This window comes from Homo sapiens, chromosome 21 (genome assembly GCF_000001405.40).
Source record: "Homo sapiens chromosome 21, GRCh38.p14 Primary Assembly".
Lineage (NCBI taxonomy): Eukaryota > Metazoa > Chordata > Mammalia > Primates > Hominidae > Homo > Homo sapiens.
In genome coordinates, this window is record NC_000021.9 from 15805081 (window position 1) to 15829054 (window position 23974).

Below are 23974 nucleotides of genomic sequence, written 5' to 3' on the forward strand. Positions count from 1 at the left end.
CAGTTAAGGTGTTTTTGTTTTTGTTTTTTTCCTTCAATAGGAACATCGGAATTTGCCTTTTATGCGTGAGCTGAGGTATCTATTTGCACTTCTTGTTGGTACCAAAAGGAAGTATGTTGATCCATCAAGAGCAGTTGAAATTCTTAAGGATGCTTTCAAATCAAATGACTCACAGCAGGTAGTTCTGTTGCACTGACTTGTTCATTAACCATTTGTATTTAATCTGAACAATATTAAGCACCTTTCCCAAGAATATGAGACTATTTGAGATGCATGATTCTGCTTTATTAAAAATAACCTGGAACCATTTAAAACATTTGGGAGACTTTTAAGAGAAAAGTGATCTTGAAGGTGTTAAAATAAAGTTTTAATTTATATTATGATTGAAATGAAAACGATGGATACAATTAAGATTATTTACAAATACATAATTAAACATGTTCACAAATGTGTGATAACAGAGGATCATTATAGTACACATGCTTTTGATATTCCTGTGTTTGCTGGCAGGGAGTACTTTTCCTTAATTACCCAGAAATGGTTTTTGAAAGATGTTATCTTTGTTATTGTTGCTTTTGTCTTTTATTCTTTATATAGTGTATTGTGGTAGATTTTTATCCATTACCTTAAAAGAATATTGGTAATTTTCTTATAAAAAATACAAAATATCTATAAACAAACCAGTATTTTCACATATAATTGGAAAAATCAGAGAAATTAAAGAAGGAAAACAGAGGAAAAAATACAGTGGCAAAGAATAGTAAGTGTTCAAAAAGATAGCGGCAATGTGTAATGGCAGAAGTTTCAAAAAGCCACTAAGCTTGCAGCGTTGTTTTTTAAAGTACATACTTGGATGTGTCTCTGTTTTGTGATGTATGGAGAGGGCGTTTGGAAGAGGAAGGTCTGAGATTCTCTCACCATCTTCCTTGTGCTTTTTGTTTCTGCTTTACATTTACCTTGTATGGCAAATGTGAATGAACAAAAAGGGCACTCACATCAGAGTTTCTTTTATATGTTGTTGCATTTTTAAAAAAAATTCTAACAATGCTCCAGTGCCTTTTAGGCTTAGTATCTACTCAGCTTTGTTTCTTACTCGCTCTGTCATGGTAACACTAACACAAATCAAAAGAAAGAGAAATAATTTTACAGTTGATTCCAAACCATCATTTTCGGGCATTCAGCATTCCTTCTGGTTCTAAATGTGTTTTACTTTTTTTTTTCTTCTTTAGTATGCATAGTATCTTTTCCAGTGATTCTGAGTATACAATTAAATTTTTTAAAAGATTACTTCTGTTCTCTGACTTATCTTTCCTTCTGGATGGCTTTTTCCTTGTCTTTTTTCTGGTTTCTTTTTTTTTTTTCTTTCTTTTCTAGAGATTCATGTTGATTTTGGGGTATCTTTTCACATTTAAAGATGAGGCAGCATAGACTTTGTCTGGAGCCATGTATGTACATAGGTGGGCTTTTCAGTTTGAGTTAGAGTTGAAATGGATACAACTGGCGGTTAAGGCCACAATATAAATGCTTTTGCTTCAGATTAGCAGTGTAGACTAACTTTTGAAATTAGTGATTCTTTTTCTTTAGAGGCCTTTTAAAGTAGATGTGCATCAATTAAGGTTGATAAGTTTGATTCTCTTCTGTTCCCTAAACACTTGAATTTGAAGTCTACAGGAGTAATTTAGTGAATCTGTAAATGTAAGCATCATGATTTTTTTAAAAGTGAATTTATATTTTCATTGTATCTTCTTCCTAAATATTTCAAATACATCATCTTTTGAAGTACACAGGAGTCTTTTGAGACACCCTTTGGTATGTGATACTGTTAGTTTTTTCTTTTTCTTTTCCGTGTTTGTTTTTTTTTGAGACACAGTTTTGTTTTGTCACCTAGGCTAGAGTACAGTGGTATGACAATGGCTCACTGCAGCATCAGCCTCCTGGGCTCAACCCTTCCCCAGACCTCAGTCTCCCAAGTAGCTGAGACCACAGGCACATGCCACCGCGCCTGGCAAATAATTTTATTTTATTTTTATAGAGACAGGATCTCCCTATGTTGCCAAGCCTGGTCTCGAACTCCTGGGCTCAAGCTATCCTCCTGGTTTGGCCTCCCAAAGTGCTAGGATTATAGACATGAGCCACCACACTTGGCCCCAATTGATACTGTCAATTTTAATCATACCTTTAATTGTTTTATTTTATAATTGTCAATTTTAGATTGATTTCTAAGAAAGATAGGGATTAACTTCTGAAAAATATTGTGTTAGCTAGGAAACCTTATTTTTTGTTGGATGTAATGTTTAAGTGAATTAAAGTTATACAAAAGTATGAAAAGTTGTTTTAAGGTGTTACAATAGTTCCTAAGGACAGTCGTAACAAATTACAACAAATGGAGTGGTTAAAAACAAAAGGTTATTCTCTAATAGTTCTAGAGGGCAGAGGTCCAGAGTAAAGGTGTTGGCAGGGCCACACTTCCTCCATTGGCTCTGAGGGAGAATCCTTTGCTTCCACCGTACTCTGGTGGCTGTTGGTGTTCCTTGCCTTGAGGCAGCATAGCTCCAATCTCTGTCTTCCTCTTCATGTGGCTTTCCCTCATGTGTCTGTCTGTCTTCTGGTTTTCTGTTTCTTACAAGAACACTCACCATTGGATTTAGCCCCAGCCCTAATCCAGGCTGATCTCATCTCAAGATCCTTACCTTAATTATATTGACAAAGACCATTATTCTAAATAGTGTCACATTTTGAGGATCTAGGTGGACATATATTTTTGCAGGCTACTATTCAACCCGCCACAGATGTTATGAATGTTTACAGCTGGATTTTTGCGTTGCGTTTAGTCCTATTTAACTCTACAGCTTTGGAGCAGTTTACTTAAGCTTCCCAGACTTTAGTTTCAACATTTTTTTGAGGTTAATATAAAGTTGGCCTACATGCTCTTTAAGAAACTGCTGGCTGAAAAAATATATGATAGTAAGTTTGTTTTGTATTTGGGGCTATTTTGGTAAGTAAGGACAAATTGCTTACTACTGATTCATCTGCCTGTAAGCAGCCTCAGTAGAGTTGATTTATTGTTTTTCCCTTATGTTCTATTTATTATTTTCTGTGTTCCAACTCACGTTATTGAAAGAATTATGGTAGTTGATAACACAACTGCCACAACCTATTCCTGTTTTTCCGTGTTGGGAGAGCAAAGACCAAAGGCATGGTGAAAGGTGATAAATGGGCTGGTTCTGAATGATAGTAAAGGTAGATATGGCTTAAAAAGTTGTGTGTGTAAGTTGAATTAAGAAAAGTGAATTGTGGAAAGAGACTAGTCTTCCTTCTAAGAGAGAAGCCAGTCATAATTCTTTATAAAACGAAGAACTGTTTGCTAAGATGATTTCTTCATTTTATAAAGATTCATTACAGAGCTCTTTGGGTGGGGAGTAATGATTATTTTTTAAAAATCTCATTTGTAAGTTTGGTTTTTGATTGTGTGTGTGTGTGTGTGTGTGTGTGTATTTTAAAGTGAAACCCAATAATTGATTATCATATAATGCTTGTTTTTTCAAATATCTTATATCCTGGTTAAATTATAAAAGTTTCTTGCATTTCGTGTGAAACATTTCACTTGTTATCTTTGTAAGGAGTTGGTAATTATATATTTCAACAACTGGCTCTAGGTTTGATGTTACAACATCTAGTATTTTTTTTTTAGTAGGCTCAAATATCAACAGGCTTTTTTCTTTTCACAGCAAGATGTGAGTGAGTTTACACACAAATTATTAGATTGGTTAGAAGATGCCTTCCAAATGAAAGCTGAAGAGGAGACGTAAGTTACCGTGAAGTTTAGCAATGGGGTTTTAGGAATTCATTAGATAGCATGTATTAAATGTCAACAGAGAAATAAGAAATCAAGACAGACTTATGGGAATCCCAGTATTTTCTGTATTATTGACAAGCTGTTTAGAATTTGCAGGCACAAATAATAGTGTAACCAAAAAAATCTAAAAAGTGATCCCTGGAAGAGCTAGTCTTACATGCCCAGTTCCTTTTCTTAGATTCAATAATCACTTTTCATGACGAGGAATGAATTTGCGGTGGAGAAAGATGTCAGGAATGTGAATTGTGACAAAATCCTTTTACGTAGAAGCATGAAGACAGGGATATGAAGTAGCAGTGCATGTGAGCAAGTGGCTCTGTTTTATCTGTTCACTCAGGGCCCCGAGGTCACCTAGGTTTCTGGGATCTTGCTGGCAGTGAAAATTATACTGTGTCTCTAAGTTTCTGCCCAGAGGTGACACACATCACTTCTGCAAACATTTTGTTGGGCAGAGCTATGTGGCCTAACTTCAAAGTGAGTAGGAATATCTCACACTAATTAGGATGGCGGCTACGAAAAAAAACGAAACACCCCCCCCAACCCCTACTGACCCAAGAAAATAACGAGGGTTGGCAAGGATGTGGAGAAATTGAAACCCTTGTGCAGTGTTGGTGAGGATATGAAATGGTACAGCCACTGTGGAAAACAGTATGGGGATTTCTTAAAAGATTAAAAATATAATCACCATATGATCCAGCAATTCTGCTTCTTGGTGTATATCCAAAAGAATTGAAAGCAGGGTTTCAAAGAGATATTTGTACACCTGTGTTCATAGCAACGTTATTCACAATAGCCGAAAGGTGGAAGCAAACCAAATGTCCATTGATAGGTGAATGGATAAACAAAATGTGCTGTATATACATACAGTGGAATATTATTTATCCTGAAAAGCACAGAAGTTCTGACATATGGTGTAACATGACCCCTTGAAGATATTATGCCACGTGAAAGAAGCCAGTCACAAAAGGACAGGTACTATAAATCACTTATGTGAGGTATCAAGAGTTATCAAACTCTTAGCAACAGAAAGTAGAATGGTGGTTGCCAGAGGCTGGGGGGAGGGGGAGATGAGGAGTTGTTTAATGCATATAGAGTTTCAGTTTTGCAAGAGGAAAAGAATTCTGACATTGGTTGCACAACAGTGTGAATATACTTAACATTACCGAACTGTACAGTTAAAGGGTTATGTACATTTTATCACAGTTTTAAGAAGTGAGTAGGACAGTGTATCTTACCATGCACCTGAACGTGAAGGGCCAGAATTTTTTTTCAGTAGCATTAAAGACTGCTATACTACCTACTGGGGTTCTTGTAAGAATTAAGAGAAGTACTTATCAACATTATTCTAAGGATTAAATGATGACCCATTTATCAAGAGAGATGGTATCCCCTCTCTCCCTTTTTAAACAATACTTCACAAATCAATTAATATAAACACAAATTAATACAGAAAAATCTGTACACAATTGTGGATACAACGCATTTCTATACAGTAAGGCAAGGATAAACTTTGTCTTTTTAGGTCACACAAACCATAAAAAGACAATTTAAAATTTTCAACTTTTGTTTGCTCCAAGCAGAAAAGAAAAAAATGAATTTTGGTATTAAATGACTTGGAAAATTTGTAGATGACTAATTCTACCAGCAGTGTGAAACTTCACAAAAGAATGAAGTAGCTGTTCAGCTACTTTGGGTGAAAAACTGGTACCTCGTTCCCTCCCTGGTGAGGGTTGTTGTTTTTGGATTTTTTTGGACTCTTCCATGTAAATACAGGAAATAACCTATCAAAATTTTGTAGAAATGTATTCTGATTAAAAGTGGCTTTTCTTCCTTCCCATGTCCAAATAAACGTGCACTACACAGAGTATGAGATTGAAATGTGTAATGATGATAGGAAGAGCAGGCACTTTGTGCACAAACTGTGTCAATTTCTCTTCCAAGTTCATACACGTAGTAGCTCATTTTAACTCCTATGAGAGTCCTGTGGGTGCAGCTATCATAGTTATCCGCAGTTGACAGGTAAAGAAATGGAAGAATAAGTACCTTGTGCAACGTGGCACTGTAAATAACAGAGCTAAATGCAAGTGCGTGATAGCCACATAAGTGTTTTTGTCTTGTCATATGTTATAGTTCTTTAATATTTTCTCTATTTATAGGTCCGAAAATTGTAATCACATTTATATTTTTTAACATACTTTAGGGATGAAGAGAAGCCAAAGAACCCCATGGTAGAGTTGTTCTATGGCAGATTCCTGGCTGTGGGAGTACTTGAAGGTAGAGTTATACATTTACTTTTTATTGCAAGTGAAGAGAGATTATTATTCATTCATTCGTCTCGATAGTTACTATTTTTTTAGTGGACTTTATTTTTAATTTGATATATTCTGTCTAGTAATTTTTGTTGGATTGCTACTGTTATTCACATAAAGCACAGAATTGAATGAAGGAAAAGGAATGTACAGAGTGCATTATCACATACTAATTAATACTTTATTTTATCCTCATGTTTTTTCCAGTGAGAGGGCTTCCATGATACAATTATGTTGGAATACAGGGATTAATGGGATGGTTGATAGATCCTTTGAAGATAATATTGGAGTTAAATACTGGGCTTGATATGATGCTCACTTTCTTTTTCATGTTGAAAGCTGAATTTAGCAACTTAGCATAGTCAGGGTATTATAGAGTTCTCACTTTTTCAGTGATTTTAAATGTAGATATTAGTTTTCAGGAAAAGATTGTACTCTATCTTTTGAAAAATCAGTGAAGAGTGATACTACTCCATTTAAGCTAAATACCTGTTTCTTAAAATTTGGCCTAAGTAGTTTCTGTTTGGGTTCCCTAACAAGGGAGGAGACTCTTTAAATGTAACTTCATGTAATAATATTAGGTCCCAAAGCATAAACTTTTGAAAAATTGTTTTTCTCACATCACCCAATGCATCAACTTTTGAAAGTTATCTTTTTCCAGATCAGCTAAAGTGTAAAATTTGAAAAAATGCTTTTTCTTCACGATCTTAAGTAGTGGATTCCCTGAAGTTCTGTTTGAACGTAGGTGGTTTGGGATTCAGAAAAAGACAATACTAACTCAGATGTTGGCCCTTTAAAAAGTCTTAGTGACATGTTCGTACGTTTTTGTTTGTTTCAAGTGGTAACAACTTATATATAAGTTGTTTTATATATATATGCACATATATATGAGTTAATATATATAAGTTTATATATATATGTAGAATATTTTACATAGTACATTTACGTTGGGTCATTCATCTTAATCATTCTGATTTTATTTGAAGTAGAACACTATCTGATGCAGCGAGTAGGTCTCATCAGGTCATGACTAGGCACTGTTTATAATACCCTGCATGAGCATTTCTACCTGTATTATATTGATTCCTAAAATTGATTGTTATTAAAATATTTAATTTGTTGGCTGGGTGCGGTGGCTCATGCCTGTAATCCCAGCACTTCGGGAGCCCGAGGCTGGTGGATCATGAGGTCAGGAGATCAAGACCATCCTGGCTAACACGGTGAAACCCTGTCTCTACTAAAAATACAAAAAAAAATTAGCCAGGCGTGGTGGCAGGCGCCTGTAGTCCCAGCTACTCAGGAGGCTGAGGCAGGAGAATGACGTGAACCCAGGAGGCGGAGCTTGCAGTGAGCTGAGATCGGGCCACTGCACTCCAGCCTGGGAGACAGAGCGAGACTCCGTCTCAAAAAAAAAAAAAAAATTAATTTGTCAATCCAGTGTTGAAGTCTTTGTACTTGGTATTAGTAAGTTGCTTTAGTGATTGTGTTATATAAAGGTGGCCTTAATACGTTTTCACTTGAACTATGTGTTTGCTTCAGTAAAAGTAATTTATTTCAGAGTACTTTCTTATCACTTTTTACATAGATCTTCCTAATACTTTCTTTCAAACCAATGGTTCTTCATTAGGGATGATTTTTAGTTTGTTTGCCAAAGTACCCCCACTGCAAAAGTCCCTCAACTTTTTGAGAACTTCTAGTTCATTGTCCCCTCTCAGCCCTTCTCTGTACTTCACTCCTTCCTTTTTCATCTAAAACCTAAAACTCTCTTTCCCCCCTTCCCTTCTGGCACCCCCTCCCTGTTCTCTAACCTTCATTAAGCTGTTCATCTTTTCTGTGTCTGTACTGAGTACCTGAAGATTGCTGGCAAAAAGTCACAGAAATGGGCTAACTGTAGTGGATCATGAATTTGAGTGATACTGAGCTTCCGTGCTCCCAATCCTATAACCCAACTTGTTCTGTGTAATCACCATTCTTTCTCTCATTTACTGCAATAAATATTTTCGTTTTTTCCACTCATTTCAGATCTAACTTATCTCTTCATTCTCTGAGAAAATCTTTACCTCAGATTTCATAGATTTACTGTCACATTAATGAAACTTAATCACAGGTTTTGCCCAGTCCCCGAATCTAATTTTACATTTGTAGTTTTGTATCATATTCTAAAAACACAACATTCCCAAATATATGAGCCTCAGGCTCCATAACCTAGATCTATCACTACCTCTACTATATTTTTACCTGCTCCTACATATAATAAAGGAATTACCCAGTTTTATATCAAAAGACTGTTCTTTATACGTGCTCAGAATTCCCTCCCTTCATGCTTTTACTCAGACCTTACTTCATTCGTTTTTTCTTGGCTTTTGAGCTTCTCCCACTCTTTCTTTCTCATCAATATTTACACATTGTCTGGTATCTCAAACCTTAAAAATTAAAAACGTTATCCCCTCCCATACTCTTTTTCAGTTAATACCCTCTCTTGATTCTTATTCAAAATTAAGCCCCTTTAAAGAGAGGAGTTAGTTTCAACTGATTACTCCCCATTTATTAAACCTAGCCCCAGTTTAGTTTCTGGCTTCAGAACTTGTCTAAAAGGGATCTTGCTAAGGTTATTGATTTTCTACATGTGGTTAAATCCATTAGATCCCTTTCAGTTTCTGATATAGTTTGGTCATGTCCCAAACCGAATCTCAACTTGATTGTATCTCGCAGAATTCCGTGTGTTGTGGGAGGGACCCAGGGGGAGGTAATTGAATTATGGGGGCTGGTCTTTCTCGTGCTATTCTTATGATAATGAATAAGTCTCCTGAGACTTATCATTTATTAAAGGCACTTCTTCCATGGCGGCGACAAGAGAAAATGAGGTAGAAGTAAAAGTGGAAACCCAGGATAAACCCTTGAGATTTATCTGGGGTTTCCACTTTTACTTCTACCTCATTTCCTCTTGCTGCTGCCATGTAAGAAGTGCCTTTTGCCTCCTGCCATGATTCTGAGGCCTCCCCAGCCATGTGGAACTGTAAGTCCAATTAAACCTCTTTTTCTTCCCAGCCTTGCCTATGTCTTTATTAGCAGCTTGAGAATGGACTAATACAGTAAATTGGGTCCGGTAGAGTAGGACGTTGGTGAAAAGATACCTGAAAATGTGGAAGCAACTTTGGAGATAGGTAACAGGCAGAGGTTGGAACAGTTTGAAGGGCTCAGAAGAAGATAGGAAAATGTGGGAAAGTTTGGAACCTCCTAGAGATTTGTTGAATGGCTTTGACAAAAATGCTGATAGTGATATGAACAATAAGGTCCAGGCTGAGGTGGTCTCAGATGGAGATGAGGAACTTGTTGGGAACTGAAGCAAAGGTGACTCTTGTTATGTTTTAGCAAAGAGACTGGTGGCATTTTGCCTCTGCCCTAGAGATTTGTGGAACTTTGAACTTGAGAGAGATGATTTAAGATATCGGTGGAAGAAATTTCTAAGCAGCAAAGCATTCAAGAGATGACTTGGGAGCTATTAAAAGCATTCCATTTTGAAAGGGAAACAGAGCATAAAAGTTCAGAAAATTTGCAGCCTGATGATCCAGTAGAGCAGAAAACCCCATTTTTTGAGGAGAAATTCAAGTCGTGGCTGCAGAAATTTGTGTTAAGTAACAAGGAGCCAAATGTTAATCCCCAAGACAATAGGGAAAATGTCTCCAGGATATGTTATAGGTCTTCCTGGCAGCCCCTCCCATCATAGACCCAGAGAAGCCTAGGAGGAAAAAATAGTTTCGTGGGCTGCCCGTGGTACTCATGCTGTGTGCAGCCTAGGAACTTGGTGCCCTGTGTCTCAGCTGCTCCAGCTTTTGCTAGAAGGGGCCAAGGTGTAGCTCGGCCCATTGTTTCAGAGGGTGCAAGCCCCAAACCTTGGCACCTTCCACGTGGTGTTGAGCCTGCGGGTGCACAGAAGTCAAGAAGTGAGGTTTGGGCACCTCCACCTAGATTTCAGAAGATGTATAGAAATGCCTGGATGTCCAGGCAGAAGTTTGCTACAGAGTTGGGGTCCTCATGGACAACCTCTGCTAGGGCAGTACGGAAGAGAAATGTGGGGTTGGAGCCCACACAGAGAGTCCCTACTGGGGCACCACCTAGTGGAACTGTGAGAAGAAGGCCACTGTCCTCCAGACCCCAGAATGTTAGATCCACTGATAGCTTGCATTGTGTACCTGGAAAAGCTGCAGACACTCAACACCAACCCGTGAAAGCAGCCAGGAGGGAGGCTGTACCTTGCAAAGCCACAGGGGCGGAGCTGCCCAGGACCATGGGAACCTACCTCTTGCATCAGTGTGACCTGGATGTGAGAGCTGGCATCCAAGGAGAGCATTTCAGAGCCTTAAAATTTGACTGCCCTGTTGGATTTCAGACTGTAACCCCTTTGTTTTGGCCTGTTTCTCCCATGTGGAATGGCTGTATTTACCCAGTACCTGTACTCCAATTGTAACTCTTCTCAGGAAAAAAATCAGTCAGTGTTACAGTTTTTAGGTTCAGGTGAGAATCCTTACATAATCTTAATTTTAGTAGCCAAAAGGCCATGTTGAGGATCATTAATTTTCTCCCTTCTTATAGGGAGTAACTAGCTTGCTTTTGATATTACAGGCTTGTAGGCGGAAGGGACTTAACCTTGTCTTAGATGTGGTTTGGACTGTGGACTTTTGGGTTAATGCTAAAATGAGCTAAGACTTTGGGGGATTGTTGGGAAGACATGATTGGTTTTGAAATGTGAGGACATGAGATTTGGAGGGGCTAGGGCTGGAATGATGTGGTTCAGCTGTGTCCTGATGTAAATCTCAACTTGAATTATATCTCCCAGAGTTCCCACATGTTGTGGGAGGGACCCAGGCGGAGGTAACTGAATCATGGTGGGGCAGTCTTTCCTGTGCTATTCTCATGATATTGAATACATCTCATGAGATCTAATGAGTTTATCATGGGTTTCCACTTTTGCTTCTTCCTCATCTTCTCTTGCCTCTGCCATGTAAGAAGTGCCTTTTGCCTCCCGCCACGATTCTGAGGGCTTCCCAGCCATGTGGAACTGTAGTTCCAATTAATCCTCTTTTTCTTCCCAGTTTGGGATGTGTCTTTATCAGCAGCGTGATAATGGACTAATACACTTTCCATATTGAATTCTTACCAGTTGTTAATGCTGATGACTCTTAACCTCTTCTTCCTCCTTTTTCCTATTCTTTCCTTAAAAACACATTTCTCTGGCTTTTGTAACACCATATTCTTGTGGCTTTTTTCCTGCCTCAGTGGGTACTTCTAAGAAAAGTTGTATTTATAGTCTCTTTTTGCATATAAAGGTAGCAGAACCTTAGGACTTTGTTTAGGCCCATTTCTTCTTCCTGTCCCATCCCCTAGGCATCTCATTCAGTGCCTTAATTTCCTGCTGTCAATAAGCCAGCAATTCTATCTTTATTCCAGAATGTTAATCTTAGTTACAGATTCATATTCAACTGTCTTCTCAAATTGAAATCTCATGGATCATAATGAACCAGTGATTTCCACTGCTACCTCAAAACTAAAGAAAAAAAAAATCCTGTGTTCTTACTTAAGTGGTGCCATTTTCAGTCCATAATCTGCCAGGCATGATGGTTCATGCCTGTAATCCCAGCACTTTGGGAGGCTGAGGCAGGTGGATCACTTGAGGTCAGGAGTTCGAGACCAGCCTGGCCAACATGGTGAAACCCCACCTCTACTGAAAATACAAAAATTAGTCGGGTGTGGTGGTGGGCGCCTGTAATCCCAGCTACTAGAGACGCTGAGGCAAGAGAATTGCTGGAACTCAGGAGGCGGAGTTTGCAGTGAGCCGAGATCACACCACTGAGCTCCAGACTGGGTGACAGAGCGAGACTCTGTCTCAATAAAAAATAAAATGTCATCATCATCATCATCTAGTTGTTCAAAAAAAAAAAAATAGTAATCATTATCATCATCTAGTTGTTCATGCCAGAATTCTGTTATTCTTGATATTTTCCTTCTTACCTATCTCTTATCCTGCTCAGTCAAGTCCTGTTGGTGCCCTTCCTTGCATATATGTATAAATGTATATGTATGTAATTTTATCTCTTTTCTGTATTTTTACTTTTAACAACCTTCATCCATGCTACCTTTATTTCTGGATAGATTCTGCAATAGTCTTTTAACAGATGACCACCCACTTCACACAGGGACTTTAAAGGTGTTTCAGAGACATAAACCTGAGCCTGTTATTCTTAGATTTAACCATTCAGTGACTGTATTAGTCCATTTACATGCTGCTGATAAAGACATACCCGAGACCGGGCAATTTGCAAAAGAAAGAGGTTTAATGGACTCACAGTTTTACATGGCTGGGGAGGCCTAACAATCATGGGCTGGGGAGGCCTAACATGGCAGAAGGTGAAGGGCATGTCTCACTTGGTGGCAGACAAGAGAAGAGAACAAGAGCCAAGCCAAAGGGGAAACCCCTTATAAAACCATCACATCTCATGAGGCATATTCACTACCACGAGAACGGTATGGGGGAAACCGCCCCCATGATTGAATTATCTCCTGCTGAATCCCTCCCACAATACAGGAGAATTATGGGAGCTACAATTTAAGATGAGATTTGAGTGGGGACACAGCCAAACCGTATCAGTGACTTTGCATTATACCCAGAATGTGGTGGGGAAAAAAATTCTTAATAGGACCACAAGACCTTGTAGATTTTAACTCACTGCCTGACTTTTCATTGTAATCTCTCCCTTGGTTCCCCAAGCTACACTAACCTCCTGTTAGTTCCTAAACATATCAACTTCTTTACTGCCTTAAAGTCTTCATCATGCTGTTCCATGGCCAAGAATACTCTATAGTCCCCCAGCACTCTGGCATGGCTAACTCCCACTCATTATTCAAGTCTGAGCTTAAATGTCCTTTGCCATGGAGGTCTTCCCTGCTCTCCCCACCACCTCCAAGACTAAGCTCCCATTTTTATACCTCTCACATAATTCTGTCTCATCACAACTTTCTTTTTATAACAATTGTAATATAATTATTTGTAATTATTTGTTTATAAATATATGTGAAGTTAATGGGTATAATGTTTTTTAAATGAGGCTGAGAATTTTCTCAGCTCAGGGACCATATCTCTCTTGTTCACTGCTGTATATATTCCCAGTGTTCAGTACAGTATCTTGCCCTTAGAAAATGCTTCTTGCGAGAAAAAATATACATACATATGTGTGTATATAATTACATATATGTGGATGTGTAATATCTATGGCTGGGTATAAATGTACATTTGCACATGTGTATAAACCAACAGGAAAATTAACACTAACACTTCTCAGGAATGAAATCAGTCAGTGTTACAATTTTCAGGTTCAGGTGAGAATCCTTACGTACTCTTAATTTTAGTAGCCAGAAGGCCATATTGAGTATTATTAATTTTCTCCCTTCTTATAGGTAAAAAATTTGAAAACACTGAAATGTTTGGTCAGTACCCACTTCAGGTCAATGGGTTCAAAGATCTGCATGAGTGCCTAGAAGCTGCAATGATTGAAGGAGAAATTGAGTCTTTACATTCAGAGAATTCAGGAAAATCAGGCCAAGAGGTGAGTTTAACATTTTCATTGTCCCCTTTCTTCCCTAGGTCTTTCTTACAATGCTATAGCACAATGTAAGGTTCTAATTATAGAGCTACCTAATAATTGAGAGAGAATACTCAGAGAGTATGTTTGGATTTAATTGGTAATTTAGACATTCAGGAGACCTGTCCAGTCAATATGGCCTATAATCTATGTCAAATTCTCACTTAAATAATTTATCTCAGAATTTTAAAATCTTAGGACATTGTTCAGTCTTTTTAGACCTTTCAATCAAGGTACCAGCCATTAGCAGCATGCTAGTTCCTCGATATAAAGAAGAAAAATCCTGATATTACAGTGGATTTTAAAACAGATATATGCTACTTATATCAACTGTTATTGGAATTTGTCCACGATGCCCAGATTCCTTTTCTTGTAAAATTGCTATGTGATTGCATAAGGTCAGATGGAAGAACTTCCCTTCTCAAGGAAGAAATCATTTTTATAAAATATTGTTAACTTATATGTCTACCTCAACTAGTTTCTTTCTTTCCAGCCATCTCTGTTTCTTTATCCATCTCTGTAGCTGCATCTGTGTAGCCATTCATCCATGCATTCATCTGTCAGGGAGTTTTGGCACTGTAATAGTAAGCAAAGGACATACGTGCTTCCCCAATCAGTTACTGTTAAGAAATTGCTGATAGTTGTCTAGCTGTTAAACTCCATGAATGTGGCTAGAGGTCTTTATCTGTGTCATTCACTATTATATCCCTAGTGGTAATATGGTAACTGCATACATAATACTTATTGAGTGAATGAATGAAATGTCTTGGTGCTTATCAAACAAGTTTCTGAGGTCTTTATACTGAATAGGTGCTTAATAAATATTAAGTGATACGATGTCTCTGTGTTTATCTAAAAGGAGACTTTGTTCTTGTGTTTTTGAGAACAAATTGCTTTTGTCTAAATTTTAATTTTTTTTTCTTAAAGATGCAGTTAACCCTTTCCTGTTTCAAGTGCATACTCATTTTTTTCCTCTTCCCCCCCACATACATAAACAAACAAAAATATGCTTTTCCTGTTAAGAGGAAGAGATGTATTTGAAATAGTCTTTCTCTCTACATCGTAGATCATCTATTTCAGTGATTCTCAATAGAGAATAGCCAGACTTCAAAGTTATCCAGGCAGGGTCTACGATAGGGATGTGGTATATGGACACAAGAGCTGCACAAGTAATTCTGATAAAAACCTCTAAATAAGAATGTTTAAATTCAGCTTATTTTATTGATTGGGAAACAGATCTCTTAAGAGTGGGACTTTACCAGTATCCCACAATGGAATAAGAAAGCAGACTCTTAAAATCCGATCTGTTTGCTGTTAAATGAAAGGATGATTGGGGTAGTAAGGCAGGGATGGTACTTGTTTTTATATTATCAGAGTAGCTGAAATACACTATGGTTTATTGGTAATCTTTCTCACATATTCCCAGCTTTTAAAAATTTTTATTGTACACAGAATTGAAATTTTATTGTTTATTTAAAATATCTTAGATTTGTCCTCCATCTTTTTATTGGTTTTATACTCTGAATGCCCCTATGTTGCAATATAAATGTTCTGCCTAGGTTTTTTCATCTAGCCTAGGGAATATAATGATTTATGATGGTTCTCTATTTTAGCAGTTTCTAATCTCCACTACTGTGGCAAATTTGATTGCCTGTGATTCCTGCTACCATTTTTCTAGATTTGCTGGAGGCTATAGTTTCAATAATAATTCAGCTTGATTTAAGAGACTGTCACTGACTAAAGTATAGTATCAGTTTTTAAAAAATAACATATTTAAATTATAGTCTTATTATATCCTTTAGAAAAAGTATTCTTGAATCTCTAAAAGCCAGTAAGTAACATTACAGACTATTTCTAAATTGGCATAATCCCTGATAACAATAGCTTTTTCCTCAATCTATTAAAAATTGTTGATTTTATTTTGGCCCAGAGAACATCTTATTTGCTGAAATAGCTGTGGCCAACTAATATATAGGAAGACCTCCAGTCTTCCAAGCTAAAACATCCAATTGGCTATAAGAGTTTAAATTTTGTGGATGATATACTAAGAGACAACTGAATAAGTTAAACATGATTATATCCAAAATAACTGCTTAAATATTTTTTAAATGATACATTTTAACTTTTAAATGGTATGCAATTTGTAGATGAGTCAGACTCTCCAGGAAACATGGAGATATTTTTTGATTGTCTGTTGGAGGAAAAAAATTTCAGATAGTAAATACTTCACTTGTAGTGTGAGTATTCACTACTACCAGTGTGTGCTGTGTGTTCTTTTAGACTATTGCTATGCACATATAAGTATTTGCATCTGTCCACACTGCCCCGAAAGTTGCATTTTTCACTCAGCAGTATATCATGAGCATGCTTCTAAGTTAGTGTAGAGCTTTACGTCAGTGTTTTTAAAATCTACATAGTGTCACATAGTCTGTATTTATAAAATTAAATTGATTTAATTATCCTGTAAGGCAGTAACTCGAAAAAGAACTATTCTGAAGAATGTCTTTGTATAAATACCCTTGCGCACTTAGGAATGAAGTATAGTTAGAAGTAGAATCTTTGGGTCACAGGGCATACTCATTTAGATGTGTTGGCACTGCCAAATTTCCCTTCACAAAGTTGTACCAAGTTATAATAAAGTGCTAGAAGGAGTTTTTACAAAGCTTTAAAAACAAAATTAGAGAAACAATATCGACATGTACCATATTAGACATCTGTAGAGGTTATATGGGGAACTTAACTTTTGAAATCAAAGGGCAAATGAGTCAAGGCAATTAAATGACTGGAGCTAATTTTTTAACTGGAATAAAAAGTTTTTGCTTCTTGTGCATAGTTTACATCCTGGCTTGGTTTGATATTCCGTGGGGAATTTGAAGTGATAGGTGTGTTTTTTCTGTTGTTTTTTTCTCTCCACATTTGTGTAATCCTCTCATAAAAGCAAGGTATCTTATACACTTTAATAGAAAACCAGCTATTAAAACTCATAAAAATGACATACTCTTTAGGAACTACTTTTGTTAACAGGTGAGATTTCTAGAATTGTGATGAATTTAGAAGCACTTGTGCTGCCAATACTGATTATGTAAGTTCTTTATTCACTAACTGCAGAAATCTATTCCTCCTGTAGTTTCATTATCTAGTAAAATAATAATATGTTTAGAGATATGGAGAATGACCTCTGTCTCACAAGCATGGCATACTAGTTAGATTGTAGACAAGTAGATATAGTTTTTTGTTGAATGGAAATATTTTTTTGAAAGAAAAATTTCTCATGTTTCGTATTATTTAAAATTCAAATTATGTACTGCTATACTACAATCCAAATATTGCAGAGCTAGACATACCATTAATATTTTAAAACATGAATTTACAGAATGTCTGGTTATCTCATCTTGTCCCCATCAGCTTTAGAATGAGAAAGTGAAATCCTTCCACTCTTGTAGTAGGAAAAACCTGCCATCGCTGATAGAGGAAAATGCATTCATAACAGAGACATATTACATAACATTTTTGAACATCCTTTTGTAAGGTATGGAAGCTATTTATATTTCCTGGACTTTTCATGGTCTACAGAAAAGTGTACCCCAGTTTGGGTCATTTCATTTCTTGTGGCCATTGTAGATTTCCATGAATTAAAATATGTAACTATTTAATTTTAATGGTGACATTTAAAGTATTGCAATAAAATATGAAAGTGATAGTTCTTGAAATCTACTTTCTTGTTTGAGTATCATAAAATGGAGCAGAGAATATTATCCTAAAGAATCAAAAGTGTTCTTTCTGATGTGTCTGGGGTAATGTTTTAATTCTTAATAATAATTTTATATGTGGATTAGAACTAACTCAAAAATTCTTGCCAGTTCCATGTGAGATCAAAATGAGTAAGCAAACTTTGCTAATCAAATTTTAAAACTTGAGATGTTTCTTATATTTTTCATAATTTTATTTAATCCGTTTCAGGTATTATCCATATAAAACAAATTCCTTAAACTTTAGCTTTCAGTAAAAGATAACCATCCAGCTCAGGAAATCTCAGTTCAAGTAATTATAGCATTTTGAAAGAGAAATAGTATTGAATACCATTTGCTTTTATTTGCTGTAGAGAAAAGTAGCAACTTTCCAGATCCTCCTCAGATTCAGTTTGCCAGATGTGTGCCATTCATGCTTTTTTTGGATGTTCAAATTTAAATTTGGTATATTCTTAACTTATTGACAGATGTGTGGTGGCATTTTGTGACACTTGAAATTATCACACACAATAGATTATGCAGCAGTTTCGCATATTGCAGTTTATAATAAGCACTTCAGAACTATTTTATACTTCTGTTCTTTGTTGATTTACATACAATCTTTCTTTCTCTTTAAATACATATGCTTATGTATAATTTGAGGTTGTATATGAAAATAATTTTCTTTTAAAAATGTTGAATTTCATGCTTAATTGAACAGTTACCAAAGCATGTATGGGGATTAGGGGCTGGGGGTAGGGGAAGGAAATTACGGCTATACTCATTATCAGAATTTGGCTCATAGCAATGAGACATTCAATTCTTTAAACACTAGTTATTTTAAAAGATTTTAAGTAAATTACTCTAAGTATTAACTTTTTGTTAGTGATATGTCTTTTTCATAAATTAGTATGAAATCCAGCAGAGGAGCTAAAGCTAAAACAGGAAAACACCATTTTTTCATTTTTAGTATGAGAGTTGTGACGATTTATGATATAAATTTTTTTTTGAGTACTCCCTCTCATAAGTTATTTTATCACAGGATTTTGATGCTTTGGTTAAGTATAAGTGCCATTCAACATCACGTTGAAGAAGACAGAGAAGACTTGAGCTACTAAGTCATGGTTTTAACCAGTGTCTTTTTCTTTGGGCTAGAAATTCTAATGTAAAGAATTATTTTCGAAGGATAGTTGTGAGATTTCTTTTTTTCCTGATCATATATTATACCCACTCTTGGAATTTTCAAGAGGTGTGGAAAACTTTTAGAAAGAGGTTGAGTTTTAACTAAACTGTGTACCCAGTTACTTGTCAGGTCCGCATTGTGGTGATACATATAACAATGTCAGTGCCCACATCCTGTGCCTAAGATTGCAGTGAAGAAAACAAAGGTGGTATTAAAGTTTTTGTTATTGTTTTATTTCCTTTCAGCATTGGTTTACTGAATTACCACCTGTGTTAACATTTGAATTGTCAAGATTTGAATTTAATCAGGCATTGGGAAGACCAGAAAAAATTCACAACAAATTAGAATTTCCCCAAGTTTTATATTTGGACAGGTATGGTTTGATATACTGCATGACTTAGTTTGAAACAGTTTAGTAAGGGAGAAAATATTGTTTAGAGGAAAATTCTGCATAATTTTCTTAGAATTAATTTCTACTTTTGCATAATATACCTAATACCATTTGTCAAGGTAGATGAAATTTACTTTGTATTAGAAAAGTATAGTTTTTGGGAATAATGTTATAAGGAAATTTAAAAAAGATGAATTTTGTAATCTTAAAATTCAGAATTTTAAAAAATACCATTTTGTATTATCTACCTTACATCTTATACAATTTTGAATGAATTGATGCTTTGTGGTGATGTCTGTACTTAATATTGTATCTATCTATCTTTCTGTCTTTCTTTCTGTCTCTCTGTCTTCCTGTCTTTCTGTCTTCCTGTTTTCCTGTCTTTCTTTCTTTTGTTTTTTTCTGTCTGTCTTTCTGTCTATCTTTCTGTCTTTCCTTCTTTTTTGTTTTGAGACAGAGTCTTGCTCTGTCGCCCAGGCTGGAGTGCAGTGGTGCGATCTTGGCTCACTGCAAACACCATCTCCTGGGTTCAAATGATTCTCCTGTCTCAGCTTCCCGAGTAGCTGGGATTACAGACACCCACCATCGTGGCTGGCTAATTTTTGTATTTTAGTAGAGACGAGATTTCACCATGTTGGCCAGGCTGGTCTTGAACTCCTGACCTCAGGTGATCCTCCCGCCTTGGCGTCCCAGAGTGGTAGGCCGGGTACGCTGGCATCTGGCCATATTGCATCTACTTTCATGATATTCGGAAATGCTAATGATTACCTTTTTCTGATAGATACATGCACAGAAACAGAGAAATAACAAGAATTAAGAGGGAAGAGATCAAGAGACTGAAAGATTACCTCACGGTATTACAACAAAGGCTAGAAAGGTATTTTAACTTTTATGAAATTAGGAGATAATTATCAGAAACCATGTATTTGGTGACTAGATTTTTAATTTCAAATTTGCTTTGAGTGATTTATAATTTTAGGAGTAGTTAATATTGTGTGAATAGTTTTGAGTTTTGCTTGAAACTAAAAATCTATAGTAGACTTTAAAAAATTATTCTAGTGTTTAAAATTAAATATCTCATTGTCAACAGGTAATGTTCCTACTGCTGAAAATAGATACAAAGTTAAATGAATATAGTTTTGACCTTCCTTTTTGCATGAAACTAAAGATTACTCTTGAGATTTTCATTAAAATGAATGGTATCTGAGTTTTTCTCCTTAAAACAGGATACAAACTCAGCTGCCTACCAAGTCTTCTCAGCAGCTTCGTAAAGGAGGAAATTGTGTCAGGTGTAAGATGGTATGTGCCGGGAGCCTAGAGAGCAATCTGTGTGTACAGGGAATGAATGCCATTCCATACCAGTGGATGGTACCATGTATGAGTATGGCCTCACTGTTGTCTATTGATTTGGATCATTTCTAAAAGACGTCAGAATCTGGACTGAGAAATGTTCTACAGGCCAGACAGAAATCTAAAGGCTGAAATGTCACAAGTCATTTCAGTTTGCAAACCCCAATCTGCTCTGCATTCCCCTATTTTAGGAATTTTCAAATTAGTAGTCTAAAACTTCTTACATCAAATAGTATATTGTATTTTAATGATTTTTATTCTTAAAAAGTATGAATAATCATATTGAAACATGATTAGTGGTAAAAGATAGGAGGATAGTACACATCACTGTCTTGATCATGAGACCAGATGCCAGATCTAAAAATAAAAACAGTCTCAGGAGATGTCAGTTTTCATCTTCCTATTGAGTTACAATTTAGAACAGCATTTACAGATTATAACAGTATATACTCACATTCAGTCCCAATCGGCCTTGGTTTCCTGTCTTTGGGGAACTTTTAATGTTTTTCTTAAGTGTATATTCAGTTTTACCATCTTCGTTTTAAAGCAAATGAATTTTATTGCTGAGGAAGTTTTATTGAAGTATCGTATCACGTTTTATAATAATAATAAAGGCCCAAATATGCTGTATATAGAAATAAAAGCATTTGTACATTTTATGATTAACAGATATTTAAGCTATGGTTCCGGTCCCAAACGATTCCCCTTGGTAGATGTTCTTCAGTATGCATTGGAATTTGCCTCAAGTAAACCTGTTTGCACTTCTCCTGTTGACGATATTGACGCTAGTTCCCCACCTAGTGGTTCCATACCATCACAGACATTACCAAGGTAAAAAGTAATCCTGATGCAAGAGACAGTTGTTACCTTTATTACACAATAATGTAACTGCTGCCTTTAAAGACAGTTTCTATAAAATGTATGCTTTGATTTACTTCAGTGAACTCCTAAGAGTAGATTCACTTAGAAGACTGTATGTCCTCTGGGAGTTTTTTTATTATTTCAGTAGATTTTATGGTTATGGATTAAAATTTTAATCACATTTTTTTTCAGTTCAGAATTATACTTTAGCATGTTTTGGTATGTACATATATAAGATTCAGCATTTTATGATCCATAAAAATAGTACTATCAAATTAGAATTTGTTTCTGTAATGTAAGCTGATAAGCCAGGGAAAATAATATCACCATGCGTAAGATTTTCTTGTTTTTTAGAAATAAATATGATTAAGCTGTTTTAACTCTAAAGCTACAACTTCATCTTATAATAATTTAGTTCTTATGTATTAAAAATCTCATTTGGATGTTAGATCAATCCACATATTTCTTTAAGATTTTTTCTTTTGAATTACAAGCCAATTTAATACTGTGGGTTTGGCACGATCTTTGTCAAGAGTTTCAGCTTGAAAGGTTAATAAGAAATACTCTATGCTTTGATACAGCACAACAGAACAACAGGGAGCCCTATCTTCAGAACTGCCAAGCACATCACCTTCATCAGTTGCTGCCATTTCATCGAGATCAGTAATACACAAACCATTTACTCAGTCCCGGATACCTCCAGATTTGCCCATGCATCCGGCACCAAGGCACATAACGGAGGAAGAACTTTCTGTGCTGGAAAGTTGTTTACATCGCTGGAGGACAGAAATAGAAAATGACACCAGAGGTAAGAAGTGTCTCATAGCATGGTTACTGTCACCTCAGATGGATATGTGTAATGTTAATATTGAGAAGGGAAATCACGTCTGGATTTTATATTTAAATATTATAGTCATTTTTCTTTTCCAGAAAGGGTTTTAAGATAAACTAGTTTGGCTCCCCATTTTTATAATCTCAATATCAGGTTCACAGGGACCAAAAGATTTTCCCTGGATTGCTTAGCTGATTAATGACATAGCAGATGGCCTGATTTTCTAGTTTGCTGCTCTAAATTTATATCAAACTGGTATTCACAGTTACTCCATTGGAGAAATGTCATACAATATCAATGTTTGTACATATCAATTAGGTACTAAATCTAAGTTTGCACAGGGAGTTCCGGTGATTAAAAAATTTTCTTTGGGCTTAAGAATTAGAAATGTGAATTTTAATTTTTAATAGCTCTAACAGATTTATGAGTATCTATGATCCCATTACTAGTCTGTAACAGAGTTTTTACTGGCATGCAGCAAAATAAGAAAAATAAGGACAGTGCTCTGGGTGGGGTGTGTGCACTTGTGTGCGTGTGCGTGTGTGTGTGTGTGTGTGTGTGTGTGTGTGTGTGTGTGTCAAGTTGCCATCTGTCCTTTCTTGGAAGGAACTCTCTTTTATTCTTTTCTATTCTATTTTTTCTTTTTTTTCAGAATAAGTTATTCTGAACTTTTCTCTTTCCTACTTTGCTGCTGTTAAAGTGTACTTAAAAAAATGGATTATGGTAGATTTTATTACATTTTTTTCCTTAAATGTGAAAATATAATTCCCTATTATCATTCCCCAATTTTATGCTGATTTATTGATTTTTGAAAAAAATGAACTATGTGACATGGTTGGAATTATATTGAACAATATTGATTGTTGGATATTATATGACCAACTTAACTCTTTATAGACAATATTTGAAAAAGAATGGCCCTAATTTAGTAAGAAGTACATAAGGTATGATGGTGACTAACAGCATTAGTAGCTGTCAAGATTTTCTTTAGTATTTTTCAAATAAGAGGGAATTTTTAAAAATATTTGAACTCATTAACAAACATTAATCAAGCAAATAGTGTTGATGAAGCACTATATTAGGCGTTGGGTAATTTTCTACTCCTCATGGCAGGTTGTTTTTAAAAGATTACATTCAGAGGAGTGGAAGCTAGGAAGCTTTTGACACCTAAGTAGTGGCATTGAGGGAGGGAAGAAGTGAATGTACTTAAAATACTCTTTGGAGACAACTGACAGATGTGGGTCATTGGCTAGAGGTAAGAGAGAGGGACGAATCGAATGATTCTCTCAGTTCATAATGGTATGAATAACCAAATAGAATGTATTTTGGAAAAAAGGTAAAGCAGTGGGCAAAGAGGTTCCCACTCAGGGGAGGAAAGAGAAATATGATGAGTTCTCTTTTGGCCATTTTAAGTTTGAAGAGCTTTTTTGAGACGGAGTCTCGCTCTGTCACCAGGCTGGAGTGCAGTGGCATGAACTCGGGCTCACTCCAGCCTCTGCCTCCCAGGTTCAAGCGATTCTCCTGCCTCAGCCTCCCAAGTAGCTGGGATTACAGTTGTGTGCCACCACACCCAACTAATTTTTGTATTTTTAGTAGAGATGGGGTTTCACCATGTTGGCCAGGGTGGTCTCAATCTCTTGACCTTGTTATCCGCCCACCTCAGCCTCCCAAAGTGCTGGGATTACAGGCGTGAGCCACCATGCCTGGCTGTTAAGATTTTTATATGTAATACTATGGATCAGGAAAGAAGGTTTTCCTCAGGATATTTTTTTTCTTTCTTTCATCCATATTGATGTTAGCAGTTAGCATTATTTTGTAAACTATTGT

At 36.2% G+C, this 23974-nt stretch overlaps 1 protein-coding gene across 19 annotated transcripts in view; it reads left to right on the forward strand.

The window, feature by feature from the left end:
- Nucleotides 1–23974, forward strand: part of USP25 (ubiquitin specific peptidase 25) — a 150083-nt gene that overhangs the window by 75099 nt on the left and 51010 nt on the right. For 9 of the 19 annotated variants that reach the window (NM_001352560.2, NM_001283041.3, NM_001283042.3 and 6 more), the window contains exons 7-14: nt 41–178; nt 3729–3805; nt 6057–6130; nt 13618–13766; nt 18959–19086; nt 19886–19981; nt 21124–21285; nt 21897–22123. In NM_001352560.2, coding sequence (NP_001339489.1) covers nt 62–178; nt 3729–3805; nt 6057–6130; nt 13618–13766; nt 18959–19086; nt 19886–19981; nt 21124–21285; nt 21897–22123 — 1030 coding nt within the window. In that variant the 5' untranslated portion in view covers nt 41–61. Of the gene's footprint in view, nt 1–40; nt 179–3728; nt 3806–6056; nt 6134–13617; nt 13767–17207; nt 17332–18958; nt 19087–19885; nt 19982–21123; nt 21286–21896; nt 22124–23260; nt 23606–23974 lie in introns of those variants that run through there. The other 10 variants (NM_001388301.1, NM_001388302.1, NM_001352561.2 and 7 more) reach the window with 8 other exon arrangements.